The sequence below is a fragment of the Homo sapiens genome, chromosome 11 (genome assembly GCF_000001405.40).
Source record: "Homo sapiens chromosome 11, GRCh38.p14 Primary Assembly".
NCBI classification, from domain to species: Eukaryota; Metazoa; Chordata; class Mammalia; order Primates; family Hominidae; genus Homo; species Homo sapiens.
Window position 1 is genome coordinate 66,888,562 of NC_000011.10, and position 12,344 is coordinate 66,900,905.

Genomic DNA, 12,344 nt, shown 5'->3' on the forward strand with positions numbered 1-12,344 from the left:
CCTGGAGACCCGCCAGGCACCTGGACAGCAGCTCCTGGGGATGTGGCCTTAAATAAACAAACAAAAAGGCAGATTACCTGGTGTCTCCGAAAGAATGAAGAGGAGATGGCAACGCACAACTTGTCTGGGGATGAACATCAACTCCAGGAAAATGAAAAGTTAATGCCACCATAGTAGACACTCTGTATTTTCAGATGTGAATATTAACTTAATGTTAACAATGTAAAATCTTGGCTGGGTGCAGTGGCTCACACCTGTAATCCCAGCACTCTGGGAGGCCCAGGCGGGCAAATCACAAGGTCAGGAGTTCGAGACCACCCTGACCAACATGGTGAAACCCCGTCTCTACTAAAAATACAAAAATTAGCCGGGCGTGGTGGTGCATGCCTGTAATCCCAGCTACTCAGGACGCTGAGGCAGGAGAATCGCTTGAACCCAGGAGGCGGAGGTTGCTGTGAGCCGAGATCGCGACACCGCACCCCAGCCTGGGTGACAGAGTGAGACTCCATCTCAAAAAACAAAACAAAACAAAAATGTAAATTCTGAAAATGTACTTAAAAGTGTTTCTATATAACCATGCAGGGTGAAGGGAGGGAAAGTGGGTACATGTGTGGGGCAGGGTTTGAGATGGGGAGGGCAGTAAAAGTGAGCTCAATCTTCCATCAAAGGAGACCACTAAACAGAGCAATGCCGTGGGGAACAGGAGTTGCAGGGCAGCCTCTGGGAGGCACTCATGGGGAGGGCAGTGGGACAGGGGTGGCGGGGGCAAATGAGCCTCAGGGTACAATCTGACTTTCAGAAGTGTCCACATGTATTATTATTATTATTTGAGAGCGTCTCACTCTGTCACCCAGGCTGGAGTGTAGTGGCATGATCTCGGCTCACTGCAATCTCCGCCTCCCAGGTTCAGGCAATTCTCCCACCTCAGCCTCCCGAGTAGCTGGGATTACAGGCACCCGCCACCACGCCCAGCTAATATTTTTGTATTTTTAGTAGAGATGGGGGTTTCACTATGTTGGCCAGGCTGGTCTCCAACTCCTGACCTCAAGTGATCCGCCTGCCTTGGCCTCCCAAAGTGCTAGGATTACAAGCATGAGCTAATGTGCCCAGTCTCACATGTATTATTTTGATAAAATAAAAGTTAAACTTACCAAAAGGGAAAAAAAACCACACTCTGCAAACAGGTGCAGTTCCTTTGTGATTCTTCCTAATACCATTCCGGGTCCTTTTCTCCTTTTCTCCCAGGGGGCCCACAATGCAGAGTTACTACTTCCCCTTTGTTGATTTCACCTGGATATTTGTGTGCCCATAACCATATGTTCTAATTTTTTTCATAAATGATATAATCATTTTAACTTGTTTTACCCAATATATATTTGAAATCTCTCCATGTTAATACAGTAGACCTACTTCACGAATGACTGCACAATGTTCTATTAGACATATCGCAATCTGTACATGCCGAATGAGGGACTGCTATTGCCTGAATGTTTGTGTCCACACCAAATTCCTATGCTGAAACCCTAACCAATGTGGCAGTGTCAGAAGGTGGGGCCTCGGGGAGAAGATTAGCGGCTGGTAGCAGAGCCTTCCTGAATGGGATTAGAAGCCTCACAGAAGAGATCAGACAACTCTGTTTCCCCTTTGTCCGTGAGAACACAGTGATCTATGAACCGGGCAGTGGGCCCTCACCAGACGCTGAATCTGCTGACACTTGATCTTGCACTTTCTGGTCTTTAGGACTGTGAGAAATGCATTTCTGCTGTTTAATGAACCTATGGTATTGTGTTATAGCAGCCCAGACTAAGGCAGTGACAAATAGATTGTTTCCCATTTTTTTTTTTTTTTTTGAGATGGAGTTTCACTCTTGTTGCCTGGGCTGGAGTGACAGAGCGAGACTCCATCTCAAAAAATAAATAAATAAATAAGGCAGTTTCATCTTTTTTTTTTTTTTTTTGAGATGGAGTCTCACTCTATCACCCAGGCTGGAGTGCAATGGCGTGATCTTGGCTCAGTGCAACCTCTGCCTCCCAGGTTCAAGCGATTCTCCTGCCTCAGCCTCCCGAGTAGCTGGGACTACAGGCATGTGCCACCATGCCCGGCTAATTTTGTATTTTTAGGAGAGATGGGTTTTCTCCATGTTGGTCAGGCTGATCTCGAACTCCACTCCCAACCTCAGGCGATCCACCCACCTCAGCCTCCCAAAGCGCTGGGATTACAGGCATGAGCCACCTCCCCCGCCGCGGTTGTTTCCAATTTTTAGCAATTAAGAACTGTGTTGTATAGGCTGACAAAATGATCATTGTTGAAGCTGGGCGACAGGTACATAGAGTTCATTATACTATTTGCTCTATTTTTGTGTCTATATAAAAGTAGTCGATTAAAAGTGTTAAAAAATGAATAACTTTGACCCCATATAGAAAATGTGCAAAAATTTCTCTAGGACATATACCTAGAATTGGAATTGCTGCGTCAGACAATAGGCATGGGGTTTTTTTTTGTTTTTGTTTTTGTTTTCAGAGTCTCGCTCTGTCGCCCAAGCTTGAGTGCAGTGGCGCGATCTCGGCTCACTGCAACTTCCGCCTCCCAGGTTCAAGTGATTCTCCTGGCTCAGCCTCCTGAGTAGCTGGGATTACAGATGTGCGCCAACATGCCCAACTAATTTTTTTTGTATTTTTAGTAGAGACAGGGTTTCACCATGTTGGCCAGGCTGGTCTTTACCTCCTGACCTCAGGTGATCTGCCCACCTTGGCCTCCCAAAGTGCTGGGATTACAGGCATGAGCCACTGTGCCCACCTAATAGGCAAGTTTTTTTGTTTTTTGTTTGTTTTGTTTTGTTTTGTTTTTTTGAGACAGAGTTTTGCTCTTGTTGCCCAGGCTGGAGTACAATGGCGCGATCTCAGCTCACCACAACCTCCGCCTCCCGGGTTCGAGCGATTCTCCAGCCTCAGCCTCCCGAGTAGCTGGGATTACAGGAATGCACCACCATGCCCGACTAATTTTGTATTTTTAGTAGAGACGGGTTTCACCACGTTGGTCAGGCTGGTCGTGAACTCCTGACCTCAGGTGATCCACCCACCTCAGCCTCCCAAAGTGCTGGGATTACAGGCGTGAGCCACCGCACCCAGCCAATAGGCAAGTTTTTAATATCAATATTGCCAAATAAGTCTCAAGGTAGTTATCCTAATAATTTACACAGCCACTAGAAATACAACAGAATGTCTATCTCCCCACATCTTTACCAACTGTTATATTGTTAGACTTTGATTTCTGTCAACCTTGTAGTATAAAATGGTATCATTTTAATTTTCAGTCCCCTGATTATTACTGAAGTTGGCTATTTTCTTATGATTGTGGATATATTTTTAGGTTTTTCCTTTTGTGAACTGCCTGTTCACATCATTTGCCCACTTTTCTGCTGGGCTGGTTGTCTTTTTCTTACTGAGCTGTAATAAATCTTTATGTATTCTAGGCATGAATCCATTCTCTGTTATACCCATGGCAGACGCTTGGGAGGATGTTTAGCAAGTTATAGGAAGAGGAAGGGGAAGGAGTTGAGAGGGAATGACAAGTTGAAGAAGGAAGGATGAGAATAAAAGGTGGGGCGAGTCCGGGAACAAGGCTGCGAGGCTCGGGTGAAAGACTGGCCTTGAACTAGATGAAGAACACTTCCCCTGAGACCAGAGTGCCTAAGAGTTCTGGGACAGTCTCAGTTGTAAAACAGCCAGTGCTTGGCCACAGGTGTCACCCAATACACTGACTCAGCCAGGGCCTGGGATGACTAAGAGCTTTTTCAATGTGACTCATCAAGGCTGACAAGCACAGGCATCACGTTCCAGAACGCACAACCAAAAGGGCAAAGCAACAGTCCAGGCAGGTCAGCCTGTAGAGACAAGACTTCCTACTGACATCCAAGCTACTCGTTTGCCACAGCTGCTCCAAGGATGGCAATAATGAGTGCGAGCTGCATCAGAGATGAGAGATTGAACTTTAAGAAAAATGTCGCCGGGCGCGGTGGCTCACGCCTGTAGTCCCAGCACTTTGGGAGGCCAAGGTGGGTGGATCATGAGGTCAGGAGTTCAAGACCAGCCTGGCCAAGATGGTGAAACCCCGTCTCTACTAAAAATACAAAAAAATTAGCCAGGCACGGTGGCGGGCGCCTATAATCCCAGCTTCCCAGCTACTCGGGAGGCTGAGGCAGGAGAATCGCTTGAACCCAGGACGTGGAGGTTGCAGTGAGCCAAGATGGCGCCACTGCATTCTAGCCTGGGTGACAGAGCAAGACTCCATCTCAAAAAAAAAAAAATTGTTGGCTTTTAGTATTAACTGTGAGTGTTTGGTATTCATGTTGGATCTGCTGCTGATGATGTGGGGGTGGGTGGAGGGGAGGCAGAGAAGGAAGAATTAGAAGGCCACAGAAGCCCAGGTTGAAGGGCTGGGGCTGCTGCAGTGGAAATATCTTTTAAGATGCTACTTGGCAAGCATGATTCAACCCTGACAGACCCTTAGAACAAGTCAGACGACCTGAAAGATGAGATTCTGCTGTCCAGCTGCACCGTGTCAGTGAGGACCCCCACTGTGACCCCAGGGCACGACTCACTCCCACGGGCTTGCCTGACTCCAGCTCTGTGCTATGACATCACGTTGGTAGCCTGACACGGGCCACAGTGGGCATATTTATGCCACAGAAATTGGCAAACACTATAATCAAGGCCCTTTCCTCACTTCCCTAAGAGCCACTCCTGACAGAGCAGTGGGTGGCATGCAAATCCCAGAAGGGCCCAGAGACGGGGAGTGAGGGGAGCAGCGTAGACAGAGTCGCTTCTCCACTCTCCCTTTTGCCTACAGAACCCAAATAAAGAAGGCTCTTTTCTTTTTTACAGACCTGGTGTCCAAGTACTTAATTTGATCAAAACATGAGGATGAGCTAAGGAAGACAGCAGACAGGCACTCTATCAATGTCTTAAGGTAGTTCCAATGACATTCTGCAACATGAATTAATCTTTGAGGATATCAACATAAAAATTCTTTTGAGAATCTCATTTAACAACTGGAAAATTATTCTTTTGTCTTCTAAGGGACTGATTTCTTTACCCCTGCTCTCAACACCTTCTTTCTCTCTCTCCATCAACACAGGCACTTGGAGGTTGAAGCGTGGGGGTGTAAAATCACGCTTTTTGGTGGACATGGCAAATGCCTATTCTATAGCAGAACTTAGCCCCCGCCCCCTACCCCCTCACTCCCCCTCCCAAACTGCACACATACACCAAACCCAACCAGACACCTCCTCCTTCCTTCCTCACCACCCTCTCCCTGGTCACCAAGGGTTAAGCTTAGGGTCTTCTTTAGCTCTTCCCCTCCCTCACCTACCATCTGGTCAAGAAGTCTGGGCAGTTTTACCTCTTTAATCCCTCACATCCTTCCCTCTTTTCATTTCTAAGAAGAGGACCCTGAAATGTCCTCTTCTTACTACTTAACTATCGTAAAAACCTCCTACTCATTACCACAGCTCTAGCTACCAATCCACATTAGGTACTAGGGATAGCTAGCATCCCCAAATACAGGCATGACGGCACTCTTCCTGAAAAGTGGGGTAATTCTCTGACTCCCCACTGTCTGTAGGTGGGAAACTCAAGTCTCCTTGGGGACCTCCCCCAAAATTAGTGCACCCTGCCTGTCCAGCCTTGTCCCCCCATGCCCCAGCCTCCCGGATTCTCCAGCTGCAGCCCAGCTGCCTCCTCTTTGTTCTCAGAAATCCTAGCACCTGCCCCTCTCCCTCAGAGCACTCCCTCTACCATTAGAACACCCTTCCCGTCCCAGCTTTTGCCCATGCAAGTCCTGCTCCTGTCTCAGGTATGCATCTAATTTTTCTCCCTCCCTTATGAAATCCCACTAAGACTTCAGCAAATATATATATATTTTTAAAGCTATGAACCCCCAAGGGCAGAACAGGAGAGGAGACAACAGCAACATGACTGCAGAAGCTGGAGCGCAGCTCGCGTCAGCTGACCTCACAGCCTGGGTCTGGAGCAGGCTGAGAACACCCGGGTTCCCACCATCCACCAGGAATCCTCCAAAGGCCAGGGAACTGCAGCTCCAGGCCTCCCACCTCCACAATGGGCTGAACGGGCTGCCGTGTATAAAGAGGGCAGGCTGAAAGCTTTCAAAAAGCAATCAGGGCTGGGCACAGTGGCTCGCACCTGTAATGCCAACACTTTGGGAGGCCAAGGCGGGTGGATCACCTGAGGTCAGGAGTTCGAGACCAGCCTGGCCAACATGGTGAAACCCCGTATCTACTAAAAATACAAAAATCAGTTGGGCGTGGTGGCATGCACCTGTAGTCCCAGCTACTCAGGACGCTGAGGCAGGAGAATCACTTGAACCCAGGAGGCGGAAGCTGAAGTGAGCCGAGATTGTGCCATTGCACTCCAGCCTGGGTGACAAGAGTTAAAACTCCGTCTCAGGAAAAAAAAAAAAAAAAATAGCAGTTAGACCCCTACCTCCCCCATCTCATGCCAGAGACCTCCCCTCTCCAGCCCTGGAAGAACAGAGGTTTACTTTCTGGGGAGGGAAAAGTGTGGGGTCTCTGGACTGGGAAATTCGAGGCACAGTTGAGGGCCTGGGGACCTTGCCAAAAATGGGGGTGGCAGGTTACGTGACTCTTTGCATGCTACCCCCTTCCCCAACTGAGCTCCCAGGTGTTGACACTGAGGTTCCCCAACAAACAGCCTGCCCAGATCATGTACTGGTAAACTCAGAACTGGACCCCCACCTGCTCCAGCTCCCAGGCAGCATTTTAGACCCTCCTAATAATTATGAGTGGGCAACCAAAGGTCCCTGGGCAGATTCATTCAAAGAGGATGGAGACCAAAGGAAAGAGCAGAGAAAGCAATTTGGAGGAAACCAACTATGCAGGGAGAAGAAAACTTAGAGACAAACATGGCATTCACATTCTCACAGAAATAAGAAACGATTACATCAGTGAAAACATAGGATGCTACACACATTTTTAAAGAACCATTTGGGGAGCAAAAAAGCTCTTGGAAATTAAAAAATACAATAAGACAAAGCAATAGAAAGGTTGAAAGATAAAAGGAAATCTTCTAGAAACTGAAGAAAAGAGACAAAGAGATGGAAAATAGGTGAAAAAGGGAAAAAAATTAGAGGGTCAGTCCAAGAGATCCAAAAACTAAATAATAGGAGTTTCAGAAAGACAGAACAGTAAAAAACAGAGGGCAAGAAAAGGAATGTTTCAAGAAACTCCCAGGATAGGACATGAGTTTCCACACTGGAAGGACTTGCTGAGAGCCTCACGAAACAGATGAACACAGGCCTACACCAAGGCACTGTGTCCAATTTCAGATCCTGTAAGCTTTCCCAAAGGAGGGTAAAAAGAAAAAAAAGACAAAAGTATCAGAAATCAGAAAGGTTTTGGACTTCTTAGCAGTTTCAGAAGTTAGAAAAGTGCAAAGCAATCCTTCAAACTTGTCAAGGAAAAATTGTTTCCAACCTGAAATTCTCTTTTTTTTTTCTTTCCGGAGACAGTCTGGCTCTGTCATCCAGTCTGGAGTGCAGTGGCACAATCTCAGCTCACTGCAACCTCCACCTCTTGGGTTCAAGCAATCCTCTGCCTCAGCCTCTCGAGTAGCTGGGATTACAGACATGTGCCACCATGCCTAGCTAATTTTTGTATTTTCAGTAGGGATGGGGTTTCACCATGTTGGCCAAGATGGTCTTGAACTCCTGGCCTCAAGTGATCCACCTGCCTCGGCCTCCCAAAGTGCTGGGATTACAGGCATGAGCCATGGCTCCTGGCCCCAACCTGAAATTCTCTATCCAGCTAAACTATCAACCATGTATGAAAGTAAAATAACAAGAAAAGGCAAAGGTCTTTGTTAGGAAGCTGCTGTCAATATGCTGCACCCAAACAAGGGAGCAAGCAAACGAGAAAGAGGAGCGGGGAACAAAGGAGAAAGACAGAGGAAATCCCTGGGAGAGGGCACGCCAAGGGAGCAGAGGGGCAAGGAGGATGGACAGCGCCGCTGGCTCCCTTCAAGGGGAACTAAAGGAAAATGAAGCCTCACTCTTACTGATGAGAGGGCCTATGCCGAACCTGACCGCAAGACACGAAAGCAGCAAGAACATAACACCTGAAGCCTAACCCACACCTTAGCAGGAGGCCCCTGATCCCCACGGACCACAATGTGGATGCTGTGAAAATCTGCCTAGATGAGAAGCGTCCGCCTATATATACGCACATACACTCATAAACATAGAGTATTTCTAGAATGACACTTCAGGAGCTGGTAACAGTGGCTGCCTCTGGGAAAGGTTTCTCTTTCACTGCTGATCCTTTTGTTTTTTGTTTGTTTGTTTGTTTGTTTTTTGAGATGGAGTCTCACTCTTGTCGCCCAGGCTGGAGTGCAGTGGTGCAATCTCGGCTCACTGCAACCTCTGCCCCCGGGATTCAAGAGATTCTCATGCCTCAGCCTCCAGAGTAGCTGGGATTACAGGCGCGCACCACCATGCCTGGCTGATTTTTTTGTATTTTTAGTAGAGATGGGGTTTCACCATGTTGGCCAGGCTGGTCTCGAGCTCCTGACCTCAGGTGATCCACCTGCCTAGGCGTCCCAAAGTGCTGGAATTACAGGCATGAGCCACCGCGCCCAGCCTTGACCCTTTTGAATTGGCACCATGTACTTGATTATCTATTCAAAAAGTGACTAAGTCGGGGTGCAGTGGCTCACACCTATAATCCCAGCACTTTGGGAGGCCGAAGCAGGCAGATTACCTGAGGCCAAGAGTTCGTCACCAGTCTGGCCAACATGGCAAAACCCCGTTTCTACTAAAAATATAATAAATTATCTGGATGTGGTGGCACACACCTGTAGTCCCAGTTACTCGGGAGGCTGAAGCAGGAGAATTGCTTAAACCCGGGAGGCAGAGGTTGCAGTAAGCAGAGATTATGCCACTGCACTCCAGCCTGGGCGACAGAGAGAGACCTGCCTACAAAAAATAAATAAACAAAAAGCGAATAAAATACAACATGCGAAAAGCTATCCTCCTTCAAAGCCTCACTTCATTGCCCCCTCCCTGAGGAAGCCTTCCCCGGTTCCCAACCCAGGACCAGAGTAAGACAGGGACCCTCCTCCTGGCCTGCTTCTCCCCAGGCCCTGGTTAGCGAGTACAGGTCATGTATCCAGCCTTGAGCTCTACGGGGGCAGACATAACTAACTCATCTTTGTTATGTCCACTTGGTAGAGATAACTTGCTCCAGGAGCACTGGAAAGAAACTTTCATTTTCTGCCTACAATATTCCAGGCATCTTCCTTTTAGCCCACTGAATTGTCACCACAATCTCATGGGGTATTATCAACCCTCATTTTACTGAAAAGAAAATTGAGGCTGGGAAGGACCCACAGGAAGTAGCAAACTCAAGAATAATTAAGGCTGCCCAGCTCCAGGGCCCCTGTTTTTTCATGAGAGCAGCTAGCCTGGTGCCTAGCTCACAGTACAGTTCCAAAAATGTTTAACTCAACCAAATTAAATTGGAATTAAGATTAAACTGGAATTAAGATTTTCTTCTGGAGCTGGGGTCCTCCCATGTTCTGAGATCCTGAAAAAGCAGCTGAGGGCCCTCAGTGGCAGACAGCACCTCCACCCGGCCAAAGGGAGCCAGGGCCAGCGGTCACAGCCCGGTGGGAAAGTTTCCTCATTAAATCACAGTCTTTTAGCCGACTGCGCTGCCCTTCAGGGCCAGGGTTTTGTTTTTTAACAGCTTTACTGAGATACAATTCACATACCATATAGATGAGACACATAAAGTGCAATTCAATGGCCGGGTGTAGTGGCTCACACCTATAATCCCAGCACTTTGGAAGGCTGAGGTGGGCAGATCACTTGAAGTCAGGAGTTTAAGACCAGCCTGGCCAACATGGCAAAACCCCATCTCTACTAAAAATACAAAAATTCGCTGGGCGTGGTGGCAGGCACCTGTAATCCCAGATACTTAGGAGGCTGAGACAGGAGAATCGCTTGAACCCAGGAGGTGGAGGTCGCAGTAAGCCGAGATTGCGCCACTGCATTCCAGCCTGGGCGACAGAGCAAGACTCTGTCTCAAGAAACAAATAAAGTGCAATTCAATGGCTTTTTAAATATATTCACAGATATGTGCATCTACCGCCATAATCCGCTTTTAGAACATTTCCTATCCCCTAGCTGTCATGCTCCAACCCCCTTAGCTCCCTCAGCCCTTGGCAACCACTCATCTACTCTCAGTCTCTATGGATTTGCCTATTCTGGACATTTCTTTTCTTTTCTTTTTTAAGATGGAGTTTCGCTCTTGTTGCCCGGGCTGGAGTGCTATGGCAACGATCTTGGCTCACCACAACCTCTGCCTCCCGGGTTCAAGCGATTCTCCTGCCTCAGCCTCCTGAGTAGCTGGGATTACAGGCATGCGCCACCATGCCCGGCTAATTTTGTATTTTTAGTAGAGACGGGGTTTCTCCATATTGGTCAGGCTGGTCTTGAACTCCCGACCTCAAGTGATCCACCTGCCTTGGCCTCCCAAAGTGCTGGGATTACAGGGGTGAGCCACCGTGCCCAGCCAATTCTGGACATTTCATATCAACAGAATCATAAATTATGTGGGTTTTGGGTCTGGCTTCTTTCACTTAGCATATTGCTCTCAAGGTTCATCCGTGTTGTGGTGTGTGCCAGTACTTCACTTCTTTGTATGGCTAAATAATATCCCATCATATGACTACAGGTATGTGCCACACGATGTTGCAGTCAATGATGAAATGCATATACGATGGTGGTCCCATAATATTATTGATTTTACTTGACAGAGTCTCACTCTGTCGCCCAGGCTGGAGGGCAGTGGCACGACCATAGTTCACTGCAGCCTCAAACTCCTGGGCTCCTGAAGCCATCCTCCTGCTTCAGCCTCCCAAGTAGCTAGTTTTTTTTTCCTTTTTACTTTTTGCAGAGACAGGGTCTTATGACATTGCCCAGGCTGGTCTTGAACTCCCAACCTCAAGCCATCCTCCCATGTGAGCCACCGTACCCAGCCAAGAGTTCTTGAGGTAGTCTAGATACAAGTTCCTTGTTACATAGATGATTTCCAAAATGTTCTCCCACTTTGTGGGTTGTCTTTTCCCTTTCTTGATAGTGTTCTTTGATGTACAAAGGTTGATTCTGATGACGTACAGTTCATTTTCTTTTATTGCTTGTGCTTTGGCGTCGTATCTAAAAAATCATTGCCTAACCTAAGGTCACAAAGAATTACACTTATTTTTCTCCTTATAGCTCTTCTTACATTTAGGTCTTTGGTCCATTTTGAATTAATTTTTGTATATGGTATGAGGTGGGGTCCAGTTCATTCCTGTGCATGCAGATATACAGTTGTTTTAGCGCCACTTGTTGAAAAGACTATTCTTTCCCCCATTAAATTGTCTTGGCGCTCTTACTGAAAATCAATTAACTGTTAATGTGAGGGTTTATTCTGGGCTCTCAGTTCTATTCCATTGATCTATATATCTATATGTCTATCCTTACACCAGTACCACACTGCAGTTAAATTCTGAAATCAGGAAGTGTGAGTCCTCCAACGTTGTTTTTTTTTTTTTTTTTTTTGAGACGGAGTCTTGCTCTGTTGCCCAGGCTGGAGTGCAGTGGCACGATCTCGGCTCACTGCAAGCTCTGACTCCCGGGTTCACGTCATTCTCCAGCCTCCCAACTAGCTGGGACTACAGGCGCCCACCACCACGCCCGACTAATTTTTTTGTATTTTTAGTAGAGATGTTAGCCAGGATGGTCTTGATCTCCTGACCTCATGATCCGCCCGCCTTGGCCTCCCAAAGTGCTGGGATTACAGGTGCGAGCCACTGCACCCAGCCTGTTCTTCTTTCTTAAGATTCTTTTGGTTGTTCTGGTTCCCTTACATTTCTCTGTGAATTTTAGGATCATCTTGTCAATTTCCGCTAATGAAGGCATCTTGGATTGTGATAGGGATTGCAGATCAATTCAGGAAGTATTGCCATCTTAACAATATTAAGTCTCTGATCCATGATCATGGGGTATCTTTCCATTTATTTGGGTCTTCTTTAATTGTTTTCAACAATGTTTCATAGTTTTCAGAGTATAAGTCTTGCACTTTTATTAAATTTATTCCCAAATATTTTATTTTGATGCTATCTTAAATGGAATTGTTTTCTTCATTTTCAATTTGCCCACTGCTACTGAAATACAATTGATTTTGGCATACTGATCTTATGTCCTGCAACCTTGCTGAACTCATTTAATTCAAATAGATTTTTAATGAGTTCCCTAGGTTTTTCTAT

The 12,344-nt window shown here is 46.9% G+C and overlaps 1 protein-coding gene across 10 annotated transcripts in view, besides 1 other annotated feature; it reads right to left on the minus strand.

Annotated features, from left to right (window-relative positions):
- Positions 1-12,344, minus strand: part of PC (pyruvate carboxylase) — a 109,964-nt gene that overhangs the window by 40,142 nt on the left and 57,478 nt on the right. The window lies entirely within an intron of this gene.
- Positions 3,977-4,046: an enhancer, noted in NCBI's record as "active region_5059". NCBI's record gives its function as "activates an Ori minimal core promoter by ATAC-STARR-seq in GM12878 lymphoblastoid cells {active_cell/tissue: GM12878}" and the evidence as "EXISTENCE:reporter gene assay evidence [ECO:0000049][PMID:35858748]".